The sequence below is a fragment of the Homo sapiens genome, chromosome 2, assembly GCF_000001405.40.
Source record: "Homo sapiens chromosome 2, GRCh38.p14 Primary Assembly".
Taxonomy (NCBI): domain Eukaryota; kingdom Metazoa; phylum Chordata; class Mammalia; order Primates; family Hominidae; genus Homo; species Homo sapiens.
The window spans coordinates 191,830,263-191,847,430 of NC_000002.12; the positions used below are offsets into that span (position 1 = coordinate 191,830,263).

At 40.3% G+C, this 17,168-nt stretch overlaps 1 protein-coding gene and 1 long non-coding RNA gene across 2 annotated transcripts in view, besides 1 other annotated feature; one reads left to right on the forward strand and one right to left on the reverse strand.

Annotated features, from left to right (window-relative positions):
- Positions 1 to 4,047: 4,047 nt before the first annotated feature.
- On the reverse strand, positions 4,048 to 16,826 carry CAVIN2 (caveolae associated protein 2). The gene is made up of 2 exons (NM_004657.6): positions 16,181 to 16,826; positions 4,048 to 6,455 (listed from the first exon to the last, which is right to left on the reverse strand). Exons 1-2 carry the CDS (start codon positions 16,661 to 16,663, stop codon positions 5,661 to 5,663), a joined length of 1,278 nt encoding a protein of 425 aa, NP_004648.1. The 5' UTR covers positions 16,664 to 16,826; the 3' UTR covers positions 4,048 to 5,660.
- Positions 16,226 to 17,168, forward strand: part of CAVIN2-AS1 (CAVIN2 and TMEFF2 antisense RNA 1) — a 217,342-nt gene continuing 216,399 nt past the window's right edge. Inside the window, exon 1 of the long non-coding RNA NR_187184.1 lies at positions 16,226 to 16,509. This is a non-coding gene — a long non-coding RNA (CAVIN2 and TMEFF2 antisense RNA 1). The remainder of the gene's footprint in view (positions 16,510 to 17,168) is intronic.
- Positions 16,531 to 17,039: an enhancer, noted in NCBI's record as "H3K4me1 hESC enhancer chr2:192711519-192712027 (GRCh37/hg19 assembly coordinates)". NCBI's record gives its function as "activates a minimal SCP1, AML or CMV promoter by ChIP-STARR-seq in primed H9 embryonic stem cells {active_cell/tissue: H9 hESC(primed)}" and the evidence as "EXISTENCE:reporter gene assay evidence [ECO:0000049][PMID:30033119]".

A 17,168-nucleotide genomic window follows, 5' to 3' on the forward strand; every position in this document is an offset into this window, starting at 1 on the left:
TAACAGAGGACATCTTGACCCTTGTGCTAAATCTGTATCAGTTTTTTTTTTTTCCCAACTCTGAGCTCTGAAGGCTCAATTTAGCATCCAAAGAAATTGAGCTGTGTCCTTTCTCTTTTGTACGTCATTACCAACAATAAAGAGTTGAAGAAGAACTGGTGTGTTGGCTGACAATTTTGTGATGATATATGACAGAGCAGAATACAGCCTTACTTTTTGTCATCTATAGGGCCTCAGGTTATTGACAAGAGTAGGTATTTTTCAACTGGAACACAGAAGTGGGATGGTAACTTCATATGCTCAGGTTACCAAGAACACCAATCCCTTTGACACCCAGGGGCTGCGCAGGTGGCTAGCAATGTTGATAACAAGGTGGGGTGCTTTTCCGTTAGAGACCGTACAACCACCCTCCAATGTGATTGACTACTTCTCCTCACACAGCATTAACAGCAATCTTTTCATAAATTCGGGAAGTGGCAATAGGGAAACTTCTTGTAAGTACTGGCAAGGGTGTTTTGCATTTTATATCCCCCTAAGAAGGCGTCTGTGTTTTTTCTTAAGGCAAATCTAATCCTGTCACTAACTTTCTCTTATTGTGTTTATGCCTCCAGGAGGGAAAGAAGCACCCAAGAGCCTTCATCTCTGTAGACCAGGAGTCCGAAATGGATGGTCTATGCCTGTGCCACATCCAGCCAGCAGGCATTTACATTTGGCTTGCATAACGTTTAAAATGATTTGAATCAGTTGCCAAAAACTAAAAGCCAGGAGATTTTCATGTAAAAAGAAATCTAAATTTTGGCTCTTCTTAAAAGAGGCCTATGTTTTGGACCGGGAAGTCATTGGACCCCATTTCTCACACAGCAAGTGGAACTGGGTAGTGATTGCCAGTTTACCACACGCAGGGTGGCTCCTAGAACATACTTTCCCTGTGTGGGAATTAGAAAGAAGCACTGCCTCTGCACAGGTGGATTTTAAGGGTGCCCCATTGGACAGGACACGGCCCATGTGTAATAGCTTTGCCACAATTGCCACCATCTCCTTGAGTCAGTTTACTCATGTCTGAGCTTTCAGGCATTTGAGTTTGTGACCCCTGCCAAAGCCTTTGGAGGAAGTAGCTGCCTGCAGCATACATCTTGATGAAAGAGGGCTGGCCAGAGGGCTTTCTCTGATTGCTTGCACACAGAGATGGAGACACCAGCATTTGTTTGACTTAGCTCCTGTGTTTTTCTGAGAACACAGCTGGATAATTTTGCAGGAATTATATTCATAGGCTAGGTCTCTGTATCCTCATGATTCACTCTACTTCCTGAACCTCCACAATCCCCCACCCCTGGCCGCATGCTGATTTGCCATTTGTTCCTTTTTTCAGCTTATGAGAGGAAGTGTCCAAGGAGAATATAGCAAGTTCTCTCCTATGACACAGGGATATAACTCCTTTAACTTGAAGAGTTTGAGGCAGACTTCATGAACCATTTTTGAATGAGCTGATTCTAGTATCTATCTCTGTTGACAGCTTGCTCTTATTATACCCTTCCCCAAAGTGAACCCTGCAGCTACTGACAATGGATGAGGCCAAGGAGCTAAGGAGCCCCTCTGTGGCCTCAGCATACCTGAATAATAGTCTCTCTGTGGCTCTCCAAGAACAGTGAGGTTTTCTTTTTTTCTTTTTTTTTTTTTTTTTTAGCACTGGAATGACAATCATCAAAATCATTTACAAAATGCAGTGTAAGTGATGCTGTATAAGGGGTGGTAAAATGAAGTTAATATTATACCATTTGATAGCTTATAAACTGACTTATAATTAAGCAGTTGTAGGATAATTAAGTGTCTGTTTTGGCAGTAGCATGGATTTCAGATTGGAATTGAACACTGGCGTTGACACTAGTTATTTGAACTGGACTAATCATTCAATTCTGTGACCCTTAATAGAAAAGTAGTTAAATTATAACATGAAGGGTGAGACCTTAGAGTAGTTAAGAACTCAGGAGTCCTTTCTCCATTCTATCTTACTGGTTGGATTCAGTAAACTTCAAAATTCTCTACTCTTAAAATGGAGGTAAAAATCATACCTTCCAAATAGGATTTTATATGATTAAATGAGATAATGCATGTATCTAACATGTGATAGGTACACAGTACTGCTGGCATTGGAGTGCTCAGCTGGTATAAAGTAGGTTTTCAAAAATATTGGTTTCCTCCATCTTTCTTGGGTCTTACTGCTTTGGTGCTAAAAATTTTAGCAAATACGAGGAACTAAAGATTGCTTTGCTCAATAAATATTTAACAAATTGCTTTTTACAGTGAAAAGTGTATATATGTATGAAAATCAAGCTGCTTAGTTTAAAGGTGTGACTCCTTAACTAGGGCAGTTTATGTGGAGAGTTAAAAATAATTTTAGAGTTTCAAATACTGCAGGATAATGTAATGGTTAAAACAAAAATAAGAAAATATCTTTAATAATGCAAGTTACTGCCTGTTCCCTTTAGGAATGAGTTCCTGGCTACAGAAGTCTTTATCTAGACACCCAGATCAAGCAGAATACAAAGGTCACAATGCCAATTTCATCTGAAACTTGTTTTGCAGTGCTTGAGTCTTGGTTTTTAGGAAAAGACTTGTGGTTGCTATGGAACTGTTAATAATGATTGCTGCCTGTATCTCAATTCTTCATACTCCCAATCTTCAATATAAAATCACTTAGATTTGGGCTCCAGGGCAGTAAACACACTTTTGAGCAGGAATTAACTGGACTTGGGCATTAGTGTCTTAATGTAGGAAATGACTTTCATTATAACCTTTACTTATACTGGCAGTTAGGCTATGTTAAGGTTTCCTAATAGTGGGCTTAATCGCATGAGTGTCAAACTTTGCTCTTCTGGGTGAGCACTGCTAAAAGCAGAAACATTTTGGGTTTTCATCAGACAATAAATATCAGAAGTCCTTGTTTTGTACAGAACTAGTCTTAGTGAGAGTATTTTGTTTTCACATATAAAAAGAACCAGTAATTCAGCCACATACTGGATTCCTAAGCAGAAAGAAGAAAATATTCCTGTTGAAATATATACCTATTTACTTTTAAAAGAAATCTCACAGAAAAATGACTTCTTTTTTGCTATATTTCTGTGAGATTTGTGACCCATGTAATAGATGCTTACATCTATTACAATAGACCCATGTAATAACTCTAAAATTCTTACTCCTGAATTATATTTGTAAGATATGGATATCAGTCCTTATTAATGTATAACCGATCTTTGGGGAAAACTAATCCAGTTCTTGAGCTCCAGGCATAGAAAGTTAGGAATGGGTTGTTGGATGGGTGGGGAGAAGACATATCTAATTTGGGGACGTTGCTGCCTCACCAGTTTGCAAGAATAATACGAATAAATCGCTTCAATTTCCACAACTGTTTCTCTCTCTAATCCCTACAGTGTGTGATTTTCAACAATTATCTGGCCTTATTCTCTGTTTTATTGCTTAGGATTTTAATGCTTCAAATGTGGAACATAGAATAAATGTGATTGCCAGTGAAACTTTAAAAAAATGCTCAAGTGCAGTTTTCAGCTGACATACAGCTAGTTTCCAACTTCTCAGCTGCAAGAAGTAACAACTCCATAAAGGTTAAACAGGCTTGCTTTGGGCCCTGAGTAAAATTAAGTCTTCTACCAACTCTATGGCACTGCAGAAGACAAAGGATTATCTGTATGAATAAACTGAATTTACAGGTCAATACATTCATGTTTGCAGGACTATTTAAAGTATTAGAAGTTCTGATATAATACAAGAAAAATGCAGATGTAACTATCAAACTCATCAAGCTGCTGCAGTAAATTCAGATACTCTCCAAGGCTGGCAAGGTGATGTCAAAAAAGTTAAACTTGAAAAATGAGACTTAGATTTCTAAATGAGATCGGTTGGGGGAAGCAGAGTTAATAGGGGAAATCAAGACTGAAACAATCAACATTACTGCTACGTTTGGAGGACAGTTTAAAAATCAATTCTTTCTGCTTGTTCTAAAACTGTTCTGCCAAAGAAACTGACATTGTTTCATGCTTTTTATTTTTCGGTTTATTTAATCTTCTTTAACACAGCCATTGTTGGTTCAACAATCCAATATTTGAGGTTACATTATTGCAAAAATAAGGACATAGCTGAATAGGTTATGCCATCAATATGTTTGTTAATCCTATCCCTTTTATTAAAGACAAAGCACAGTTTGTTAATATTGTCTTGGATTAACTCTATTTGTAAGGTTACTTATAGTGGTTCATACTAAAGGCAGGGGATTTGCTTCCTGGGCCAATTGTCTTTAAACTATAATTTAAGAAATCATTAGCATTTTGTAATTAAAAACAGATAAAGCAATATTTTAGTACAATGTTAGGCAGCAGATAAAATTACCCTGTCTGAATATATGTGTACATATACATAAAACGCTAGCATGCTTTAAGAAGTTAAGAAATATTAATATTCTGTGAAATTAATATGTAAATAAAATATAATCTGGAATGAAATTCCCATTATGTACAAAAAAAGAAAAAATAGAATCTTTCACTTCCAAAACCTATAGATTTTAGCATCTTATAAGCCTACATCACATCACATGGAATGTAAGGGTTAGTTTAAATTTGAAGAGCATTAAAGAATAGTATGAGCTAAGTTTCCACAAAACAGTATATATTAATTGTATTTTGAAGATTTATATTCGTTCCAGTGTTAACAAGACAACATCCTTTTGAACTTCCTTAAAGAAATATTTGTAATGTCCTTTATTTATTAAGAAAAATACAGCTTTAACACTATAAAATGTTTATTATTAAAAATATTAGAAAATAAAAATATTTTGAAGATGACATGTTATTCCAGGATATACGAACTTCTTTAGTATTTTTATTTAAAGAGTGAAATAGTTAAGCTACTATTGTAAGTATTTTACTTTCAAGCACATACATTTTTTCTCTGTTTTCATTCTTTTCGGCATTCTTTGTTTCCTGTTTCTCTCATTTTCCAAATTTTCTTTCTTACTTTTTGAATAGTCCTGACTTTACTACGTATCTTACTTCATTAGCTGACTTTTATAATCTCTTCATTTTTCCTTCGTTTGCAATAAAACAATGGTTTCTAGCAAGTAAACAACCAACTGATCATCTCTTTTTACCTTTCGTAGATGTTTTCTTCTTAAAACATATAGTTATATGTTTAGCTTACATATTTATGTATATTATATATCAACACTTAAAGAATAATAATTAGATTCACAGAGTACGGTGGAAATACAATATATTACCGGTACACTATTCAGCAAGCTTATGGAATGACAAAAAAGAATGAATCACTTTTCATGACTAGTATCTTAATTATCCTCTGTTTTTTTCTGACTAAGTCAAAGAGATTAGCATTTTTCAACTGCTCAGTTTCTTCTTCAATCTTGGAGACATTCTACAGAGATAGAACCTAAGAGCAAATTAAAAGTGGAGTCCGTGACAGGTCGCTTTCATGGTAAAGCCTGGTCTCGTGTGTCTTACTATGACTATATGGTCAATGATTACTGCCTGGACAGGAACGCAGGAGTGGGTGAGTCGTGCTGGAGATGTGCAAGAGTTTGTTCTTCAGCCCTGGCTGCCCGCTTGAGCACAGCACAGGATGGCACGGTGGCTCTAAGCTCAGGAGGTCTGGTGCACCTGGAGCACGGCGGGCTGCACGGGGTCCCCATCGGAGCGCTCCGCCTCCTCGGATGTTAGCGCGTAGCTACCCTCATAGCGTACCTTCTGTGCCTGTTCCAGGGCCACTGACTCCTCCTCTTCATCTTCCACAATAGTCAAGTCGATGTTGCTGTCCATCCCCGAGTTACTCCCCCTGGAGGTCGCCTTCTCAGCAGCCTCCTCTGCAATTTCCCCTTCCACCAGAGCGCTGGCGAGGGACGCTTCGGAATGACCCTCTGCAAAGGACTCCTCTTCCTGGTCATTTGGCATCTGCTCACTGCTAGGCAGGTCTTCTGACTTGGTCTCATTTTCTGCATGGCTTTCTCCCTCTCGGACTTTCTTCCGCCCGAAAGTGAGGGGAGAAACCTTGAAGGGGGAGCTTTTTCCTGAGGATATTTTCTGGTGATTTGACGTGAGAGATTTCTTAATCTTCTCTCTCCTCTCTACAGATACGATCTTTGTCCCCAGCTTGTTCATCTTTTTCTCGATGTTCTGGCGAGAAAATGCTTTCTTGAGGCTATCCACTTTCTTCAGGCTGGATCTTTTTATTTTCTCTGCCCTACTTTCTTCCACCTTTTCCTCGGCACTGTCTTCCAGGGCCTCCTCATCGTGGGGCAAATCATCATCTGAGGAGAGGTCCACGGTGTGCAGGGTTTCCTCCAGGGATTTGTTTTCATCCGGAAGCTCCTCCTTCCCTTCCACGGCACCGGAAACGGGCTGTTTCACAAACACGCTGGCAGGGATCTCATTTTCCTCCTGAAAAGACGGACAATGTAGGTTTCATGTTAATAACATATTTCACAAATAGTCCTGAGCTGCTGTAATACGTGTGTCTGTTTTGGAGACACGGTGATGGTAAAAAAACAAATGTTTGTGGCTTGAGTTTTCTAGAATAGGAAGAGTTAATTCTAAACTCGTCAAGTCATTCTATTTAGGCTGGATAAGGCCAAGGGCAGCCTGTTGGGAATATCAGGAGGACAACCGGCAGAAACTGTATCAGTGACAGGCAGAGGGGAAGTGGGCAGTGACTGAGATAGACCAGGAAGCTGCCTAGATAACAGAGCTAAAGAACGTTACTGTGCTGTGAACCCAGAGGCCCTCTCTCTCCTATCCTCTTTTGAGGTCAGAGGGCTTGGGCCTGCCAAAATCCCACTGCAGGAGAGCCTGAAGATCAAGTTGGCAGATAAAAGATAGGGCAAGGGTGAGAACTGAGAAGTCTTCAAGTACCAGACACACACACATAAAGCCTTGACTGGGTTCCCTCTCCAACTAGGAGTCAGAAGTAAAGGTAGGGCCAGCCTTAGTATCTGCTCAAAGGTGCACACTAATTTTGCTGAGGACATCGTTTAAGAGTGAGAGAAGCAAGGACTAGGCTTCCTGGGGGTGCACTCAGGAAGCCTTCTGGTTTAGAATATCCTTTGGGGAGTTACTAAGCGGAGGTGAGATCTTAGGGTTATTTTTAGAGTAGTGAGGGGAAATTATGCTGCCAGCCATAGTTTATCAATTCTCTAGTGTTACACAGAGCTTCTTTGGGCAAGAATACTTTGGCCCTCACTTCCAGCGAAGAGTGAGGAGAGAAGCACAGAAAGCTGCCCCCTTCACCGTTGCCAGCACTCTCCTCCAGCTGCCGGGCACACAGGCAAAGATGGCTCCTCTTGGCTCTCAAGGAGCAGCACCTGAACACTCAACTCTAGAGTGGAAGGGGGATGGTGTTGCAACATTGCTCACTGGGGAGTTTTGAATGCAGACAGACTCGGGTTACACAGCTAAAGAACTCTTGATTTTTAAATATTTTTCTTTGAATACTGGAAAAGGAGAGCCAGTCAGCAAGATGTCTTCACATCTTTTTTGAAAGAAATGGCACAGTAGTGAATGTGTGGCCAGAGGCCTGAGTCTCAGTCTTTGCTGTACTACTGAATAGCAGGACAGCTTTCAGCAAATAACTTAATCTCCTTGGGTCTCAGTTTCTTCCAGATATGAACAAGAGATTTGACCTAGATTAGCAGCTTTCATACTGCACTCCCAGGGGTACCAGGGGCTCTGCTGGAATGCCAGAGGGGGGCAAAGCTCCAGACCCCCCTGCCACCTCTCCTGCAACCAGAGCCTCAGGATTGCCTGATTATATCTAAGGCTGTTCAGTAAACTTTCAGTTTGAAAAATAACTGGATTTAGTGGATTTTAAAGTCTACCTGGGACTTAAACGTCATGCAAAGTTTATGTTAATGGCAAGAACTTCCCTTCTTGTTTTGTAATTTTGATTGACCGAAAAGATGAAAACATGCTTTAAGAGTGTCACTTTATATTTGATACAAAGACTAAATAAAGTTTAGATATTATACAGAAACTTAAAAAAACCCTCTCCTTGTTAACAACTGAATGGTAGAATTATGATATTCCTTGAAAAATACAACCCTGTGTCTCCCCTTATACACACTATACAGAGTCCTTTCCATAAATTGGTTAGAAACAAAGGGTAATGTCTTGTGTCGACGCAAAAAGCAGAAAAGTCCAATTAAATAGAATTCCTCGTTAGAGTGACGATATCATATATTGTGTTTCCCAAAACTCTCTCCACACTCTGCCATTTTGAATGTCATGGTTAAGTGTCCAGGCCATAGTAAAAGACAAAGTAAAAAAATAAATAAAAGGAGCATGGGACTGCCACAGGTTATTTATAACATGGCCTTTTACAAGCACTGCTTTCCCGTGTTTCAAGTTGCGGTTGCCTCTAGTTCCCCGGAGTGTACTCCCCATGAGGGCAGGGATTTTTGTCTCTTGTCCATGCTGTGTCCCAGCACCTAGAGCTCAACAGCTGCTTGTTAAATGAGTGCATGTTGGGTGAGGTGGCTTTCTAAGAACGCCCTGAGAGTGGCTGGAATGGAGATTGCCCCTCTTTTGGGCAGGCTTGAGGACTATAAAAGAACAAGTTCAGCTCTGTGTCTAGAAGGAAGTTTGCTGACTGCTGGTGCCATTGGGAAATCAAGAGAACCTAAGTCCCAATGGGGACAATGATCTCCATTTTTAAGGAAGGATTTTCTTTGCAGTGGATGGGTGTTACTAAAAGAGGGTTAGACAACTGAAATAGCTAAGGCTTGGATGCTTAGTCTAGAAGCAAAATTACTTCTGGGGTTTGACAAGAGGGTTGAGAAGGTTTGACAGGAGTTGCTTACAGGAAAGGAAGAAACCAAGAGATCAGTGAAATGTCATTAAAAGTCCTCAGTGAGGAAAGCAGAAATTCAGGCAGAAAACTGTAAAAATAATCCTTGGCTACCAGAGAAGAGGTACATTTTGCATAGTATAATCTCTCAGGGTAATCAAAGGTAGTAAGTTGTATAACTTCCCTTTATTTAATCCCAACAAAAGGTAGGCATATTAACTGAACTTCTAAAGGAATTAAACTAATAATATTACAGTTTTTCCTTAAATATACATTTTATTATTACAAAAGCATAGTTGCTGTTGAGTTTTAGACTCTTTCGATTCTTTTATCATGTATCTTTTGAGGACAGCTTTGAGGAAAGTTATTATAAGGTGAATCATATATGATCTGTGGTAGATACACACTGTGTATATGAATGGGTATTGGGGGAAGGTAGGAAACCCAATTGAACTCTTTTGTAAAATGCCAGGGAAATTATATGAGAGCTTTTTTGATGCCAGCTATAAAAATAAACCCAGCAGGAACAGAGATAATCCAGAATGAGTTGGATGTGTCTTTATGCAACTGGAAACAAGTGAGATATGTCTTCTTGGCTAACTGCTATGCTTCTGCTGTCATTTTAATTACACAAACAGGATTTAATGTTCTGTATATTGAACAGTGTTTATTTTGTGGCTTCTGATGGCATCTACTCTGAAGGTAAGCCCTTTCTTTTCACACAAAAATCTGTGAATGTCCAAGCACATGTAGCTCTTACCTTTCCATAATGTTTGTTTGGAAGCAGAAAAATACTGATACTTTTCAAAATTTCTGTTCTATAGTAAAACATGTGAGTGGTGTTTGACAGTGAAGTAACTCTTATGGTGGTGGAAACTCAGTCTAAACTTAAGATAATGGATGCTGGATAACTGCCCTCTCCTGAGGTGCCTAATCTCACCTGCACACGTGCCCTGTGCTCAAGCTCCCCCACACACCTCGTGGAAACACTTGATATTTCATATGCCTATAAGCAAGGTGACACTTCTGCCTTCAGCCTCCTGTTGTAGTGTTTCTGATTTGCTTTCTCTTACAGGTTGCAAGACTGATGACGATTTCAAGAGAGAAGATCAAGTACACATCCTCAATTCTGTCACTGCTTCCCTGCCCTAGTTACTTCTAGGTCTACTTAGGGTTCGTAGCTCCTGAAAATGGCACTAGGAATCCCTTGTGGGCTGCACTGCTTCCTTTGGTAGTTCTGCCCAGTAGAGGCCCCAAGAGAGCTGATTATTTACCCTTTGTTTTCAAAAAGGTCCTCAGCTCCCCTGATGCAGGTGTTCCCGGTTCTGACCTTTCACGAGAACCCTTAGGAGTTTTTCAAAGGAAGGGGAATAAAACAGCACACTTCAAACATATATGACTGATATGCTCACAGCATAAAAATGAATGGAAAGAACTGAAAAAGTAGCATTTCTCCTTGTACTTTAACTTGTTTGCTGTTCATATCGATCCTAGTGAACTAATAGTCCTATTTGTATCAACACAGACAAACTTGCTAACATGCTGGACACTTCTTGGTTTGAAGCTCATGGAAGCAAATCTTCTGTGTACATATCTAAATACCTAGATATGCACACCTTAACAGAAAAGAAGACTCTATGACTCTCCTTAGAAAGGAAATCATGGTAAGTCATTTAAAAGCTTGAATAAGGAGAGAAAAAACAACAGTTTGCTTTCCTGTCACTAACTCATCATTCCTGTTGGCAGAAGAAAATAACAAAGGATGTCATATTCCCACTGGGATGCAGTAGAATCCTGGAGGGATATGAAGACCATAAATTTGTGTCCATGGAATATTTTATCCAATAATCTCTAAATACTAGTTACTAAAATGAAACTGTGCCCACCTGACATTCTGATTTATAGGTCTCTTTTACACATTGATGGTTTTCTCCGATTTGTGTTTCTGAGGTATGGATTGCCAAGTGGATACAGTCATTGATTAGAACTGCACCCCTAAGGCAGCTGTCGGTGGAATCAGCAAGTCATAAGAATAAAATGCATTAGTTATAATCCCTGAGCAGTCTTTCACATTCTGGAGGATTTAAAAGTTTCATTATTTTTCAGTGTTATCAAGGGTTCAATTCTTTTTTAAGACACACTGGTTAGGTGTTCTTTGTTACAAATAAACACAAAACAAAACCAAACAAAAAAACCAAAGCACACTGAATTATTTAAAAGCTGATGTAGAAAACCCAGTAAACATGAACTTTACCAAGGTGGGATTATAGTGTTTGTTTTTACTCATTTTGCAATTCAATTCTATAATCTCTATTATTAATAATAAAATGAAACCTTGCTAGTCACTGTTTCTCAGGGCCTCTGTTTCTTTGACACAAAACGAAGTTAAACTGAACAATTATTAAGGTGCTTTCCAGCTCTAACATGTTTGATTCTGTGATGTTAACATAAACCCCACAAAAAGAATTAACAAATTACAGAGTTGATTCCATAGTGTACTGATACCAAATGTGTTTTGTTTTATGTAAGAATCAAAACTCTAGGACCTGAGTTGCATTGGAGAACATTTTTCATTCATTCAATTCAAATAGATATAGATTACAAAGCAGTGGAAGGGGCAGCATTTACTTGGAAGGGCTGCATCTGAAGGAGTCTAGTTTTTTTTTACATAAGAGTATGCAATGATTCTTTCTAAAAAATACCAGCAATAATCAGTTATTCACTTAAAGTGCCTGGGACAGTGCTCACATTCACTAAATGTAAATAATAACAATAAGAACTAATATTTTGTTTATCTCATAAAGTAAAAGGGCACTGGATAAGTAACACATCAAAACTAATATCCCATATGGGAACATTGTAGCGTGATAGAAACATGGCGAGTTGTCATATGAAGGCGTCTTTTATTACCTATATCCTCATTTCTTCCAGGTCTGTACTAATGTAACAGTCTTCAAAGCAGTGACTTTGGATAAAGTACAGGCTTTTTAAAAATGGTCTGAAGATGTTACACTTTTAGCGTCTCTCTAAAATTCTGACCTTATCAAAGGAACCCAAAGGATGAAGATTTGAACACATTTATAGGCTCCATTCTCCAGAAATGTATCCACTGCAAATAGCTAACCTTTCTACTTTTTTCACCCAGTTTCCCAATTTTATGTGGACGAAAGTGTAAGCTGTCCAAGAGTACTCTCATTTTGCTCCCTGGATTTGAAATCATCTCCCAACTGCTTTTTCAAATAATCATTACTAGAACCTAAGAGGACGTAAGAGGCTACTGCATCCTCAGGGCCAGTTACCTGTGAAATTCTAGTCTCTTAAATCAAAAGAGAAAATTTCCTCATAAGTGTAGAGTAACTGATTTTCTGTACAAATTCTATTTTTTCTTTTAGTAAATGATCGCTGTGCTTAGAAGCAAAGTCTCAGTCTTTCTTTAGCATTTGCTTTTTGATCAGCAATGCCTATGAGTCTTATTTTATTTATGCTGGGTCATGTCACAGTATTTTGAATTCAAATATTGATCTGAAGCTATTACAAAAAAGTTTAAAAGAGAAAACTGCTGAATTTAACTAGGATTTTAAGATTTATTTTATTGCTGAAAGAGAGATGAATGTTTCTTCAGTTTTAGACACTACTGGTTATAATTTAAAGTAATTGCTAAGAAATTAGATGCTTAACAGCTATAACAATGTTGTAACACTCAGTACAGACTTAAAGAAGTAATGTCACGTTTTGAGTGGGACAAATTAAGGACAAAGTTTGGAATTTAAAAAATGCAATTATGGCCAGGCATAGTGGCTCACGCCTATAATCCCAGCACTTTGGGAGACTGAGGCGGATGGATCACCTGATGTCAGGAGTTCAAGACCAGCCTGACCAACATGGTGAAACCCTGTCTCTGTTAAAAATACAAAAATGAGCTGGGCGTGGTGGCAGGGGCCTGTAATCCCAGCTACTTGGGAGGCTGAGGCAGGAGAATTGATTGAACCCAGGAGGTGGAGTTTGTAGTGAGCTGAGATTCCACCATTGCACTCCAGCCTTGGCAACAGAGCGAGACTCCGTCTCAAAGAAAAAAAAGAAAAAAAATGTGTAAGTATCTTCAACCACTAACCAAAACAGACCTGTAGATTTCGGCGGGCTCAACAGGATTCCACAAACTGAAAATGTACTCTTCTCAACAGTACCATACCAAATATGCTCAGGTCATGGGATAGATTTTCCTTTCTCGCTCTCTTATTTTTACATAATTTTTTGTCTTAAATTAGAAACAGTAGATTTAATAAGGGGAAGTCTGGCATAGGGTTCAGATGGGCTGAAAATGATAAATTACCTAAAGACACTGAGTAACACCTGGTACATATTTGCCCTCCACATTCTCCACAGGTCTAGGAAGCAGTCCCCTTATGCTCCACTGTGAAGATTATGCTGTGACTGGAGGGTTCGTTGAGTAGGTCTTTTGGGAAGATTCCTTTGCTTTCATGGAGATGAGATATAATGTTGATTTCAACATGGCGGTAGTTATACAATACATGGTTCTCTGTGTGTAGCGGAGCTGTTTTAAGATCCTGGGCAAGGTGAGGTCAGTTTTTACCCAAGGACCATATTTCTAACCAAGCAAAAGTGTAGCCTTCTTTCTGAGCAAATGAATTTCAGATCCACTCAGTAATATCTTCTATTCATTGAGCACTTATACCATGCCAGTCCTTGCTAACTATTTTAAATGTTATTTCTTTCATTCCTCACTCTATGAGAGAGATAGGAGGGAAGAAGCATTAGTGTTCAAGAGTACGTGCTTTGAAATCAATTAAACATGAGTTTGAATCCCAGTTTCACCACTTGCTTACTAACTAGCTTCAGACAAGCCATAAACGTTTTCGAATCTCAACATCCTCATCTGTAGATTCGGGATAAATGAGATAAGATGCTTACCAATGTATGCTGGGTTTATTAAGTGCTTGATTTTTTTTGCTCTTATTAATATCATCAGTGTATAGATGAGGAAACAGGTTTGGAGAAGCTACAAACTGTGTCCAATATCACATATTTAGCAAGTGGTAGAACTAGGATTTGAACTACTGTTTGTGTGACTCCAAAATTTATCTTCTGAACTACTATACTGGACCACTCTCTAATACAAATTATTATTTTATCCATTGGCATAATTACTACTCTGGGGAAACTGCTACTTTTAGAAGGAACAAGAGAGTCCACTGAGGGACTGTGCTTGCATTAGTTTTATACAAAACAATCATCTTGCGATGCCTTGAGAGTTGAGAATTCTAATATCCTTTAGGCTAATAAAGGATCTTACACGGCTTAAGAAAGGTCCAGTCACTTGCCTCTAGTTTCCTGCCTCCTAAAATGCTCTTTAAAGGTGTCCTTGGGGATTGTTTTCTAAAGGGCCCAGAATGGAGTCCGAGCACATTTCTGTGGATATTCTTAGCTTCCAGTTTGGTCTTGAGCACCCCTGTTTCAGCTTTTACTCACTATATGGAGAATTTCTACCATATCTGGCTGCAATTTCACACCTGTCAATTCAATGTGACAAAACAGGAGACCATGTCAGACCCTCACAACAGCATATGCCTTTAAGTTCCCAAGCAGTTTTTTTTTAATGTCAGATTTATAATTCTCCTGAATTTCTACTAGCATATCCTCTCCATCCCTCCCCCCAACATCTGCAGAACATCCATGACAAAACAAAACAAAACCCAATCCTGACGAATTGTGACTTTCCTCTACAAGATAAATACTTTTTTCCTCCTCCTTAACTGAGGGATGGGACAAGAGATAATTTGCCTGATTCATACTGGAAGCAGGAAAATTTCCTTTGGTGTCTCAGACTTAAACAGGTCTGTACATGTTTGGTTTTGTTTGGAGATCAGTATTTAATTTAGAAATGGCTTGAGAGCTGAGATTTCTAATATCTCTTAGGCTAATAAAGTAAGGATCTCATATGGCTTAAGAAAGGCCCAGTTACAGTATCTCTTTTCAATTCATCTGGTGCATGAAAAGCTACTGCATTTGCATTAAAAGCTGAAAAGTTTTCAGCTGCAAAAGCCTGCAAGGTAGAGGAGGACATAGGCTCCCTAAACCTTTACAATATTCAAGTGCAATTTGAGGAGGACAAAAAAGCAGCGAGATGAGTCTTTCCTTTTATGGGGGTAGGAAGGCTTCTAACTTGGCAGAGCAGATTCATTTTGAAAAAGAAGACTCCCTCGGTTTAAATCCCAATTTCTAAATCTCTCTTGGGAGATGAAGGCTTTCCCTGTGTGCCTTTCACAATCAAACTGTTGGTTATAGCCTCTCCCCTCCATGGCTTTGAAATCCTCTCCTATTCATATGGTCACAACGAGACAGCCCTGGAGCGAGGATGGCAATCGCTTCCTGGGCTCTGTGCTGGCTGGATTCCACTGGGCGGAAGGGCTTCCAGCATTAGGCAGGGCTGCCCTGGGATTCACAAATGCCCACCACTTGGCGGAACAAGAGCCCCACGCAATCTCCCTGTCCCCAGATAGCCTCTTGCTACATTAATTGCATCATTGATGCATTAAAAAAAATTAAGTGGCCTTTTTATTCTAAGGCAACCGTTTGAAGGAGAAACATTTAAGACTAGCCTTTGTGACTATAACTGATAACACTCCTTTTATTTTACTTAACAGTTGTGGTCTCTCTGAACAAGGAGAGGCACGTCTAGTGTGTTTGTACTCTCTTTTTCTAGTGCATTTGCTAGAAAAGAACTCCACAAGATTGCTTTGCCCCAAAAAAGTCTTAAAAGAACAAGGCTAACTCTAATGGAATCAATCCTCTATTTGATTGGTCCCCAAAACGTTGATAGCCTTTGTATAAAGGGATAGTTTGACTTTTTGGTTAAAAAAACCACAAAATACCTCACATGATCACTTCATTTCCACTAAGAGTTAATGAACAGCCACTGAATTAATTTGCCCTGTCCAGCTAACAGCTGCAGCCAGAGCCCTAAGCTCCTAATGCAAAGAGACAAATGAATTTGACTAGGGTGCACGCACCTGCACATCTTCCCAACCTGTACAGAGTGCATCCAGGTGCTCCCTGACAAATGACCCGGGGCCTACTAAGCCCGGGGACATCTTCTTTGGATTAGTCTGTAGTGACCTGGGAAATTCCCACCCCTGTGTGAAGATTTCACATTTGCTTTCCGCAGGCAGACAGGGGACAGTGCCTTGTATGTGTGATCCCTGACAGGCAGGACAAATGTAAAAATGGCTGTGAGAGCCAGGATGAGCGAGATCAAGAATGATAAGGAGTTCCAGCCCGCCTGTAAGGAGGCATAGGGGGAACTGACCTGGAAGATGAGCACTTTGAAATGGTTGCGTCGGAGGAGCTGGGCGTGGTTGTTCTCCAGCCGCTTCACCTGTGCGCACTGCCTATCCATGCGCTCTTTGACCGCGCGCGTGTGGGCGCTGACCTTGCGGGACTTCTCCAGCAGCTTGCTCACCGTGTTGCTGGTGGAGGCCTGGTACTTGGAGAGCTTGGTGAGGTCATTCTGGATGCCCTTCACGGAGCCCTCCAAACTGATCTGTCGCTGCTCCATCTTGTGCTGGTTCTCCTGCACAGCGTCTAGCATGTTCACCAGCTTGTCCAGGAGCGTGAGCACCGTGACTGCGTTCACCTGTGAGTTGTCCCGGATGGCCTCCTCTGTGTTCCCTAGGTTCAGGCTGGGGCTTGGTGTGGAGGAAGGCATCGGGCTGGGGCTCGAGGGCTTTTCCTGCCGCATGTCAGACCCAGGGTGCTGGAACTTTTCGGCCTGTGCAGCGTCCTCTCCCATGGCTAGGCAGGTGGGAACGTTCTTTCTCTCTGGGAGCTGCTTCTTGCTCGGGTGAGAAGTTGCGGTGGTGAGGGTGTAGGATGAGGCCCGCTGGTTGGAGCTCAGGGCACCAGTCTCCAGGACTGGCAGAGGTTCAGACAGGCAACAACTGGCTACGCTGATCAGGGGAACTGCATTCCAGCTGCTCTTAAAGGCCCTACTCCACCCAGTGGGAGGAGAAGTTTACAGAACTGAGAACCATTTAGGGTTCAGACGTATGCACACACTTCCTAACCGCGTTCTGGGCACAGGACACTTTGTTGCAGGTTTAGCTTTTCTTTCCTGTTCCCCTTCCCTTTCAATGTCATATTTCAATCATGACTTCATCTAGAGGCGGAGAAAAACATGCTAACTTGGCCCAGCTCCACAGCTTCCAATTGGCTAAAGCTGGTAAACTTTTCTCTGGCTGCTATGCTGCAGATGCAACAGGGTGCCTGTTTCTTTTTCCTGGATACAAGTTATTGTA

Coding starts and splice junctions, on each gene's coding strand:
- CAVIN2 (NM_004657.6), bottom strand. CDS start 16,663: ATGGGAGAGGACGCTGCACAGGCCGAAAAGTTCCAGCACCCTGGGTCT. Junction 6,456..16,180: donor TCAAAGTGCTCATCTTCCAG/GTCAGTTCCCCC, acceptor CCGTCTTTTCAG/GAGGAAAATGAGATCCCTGC.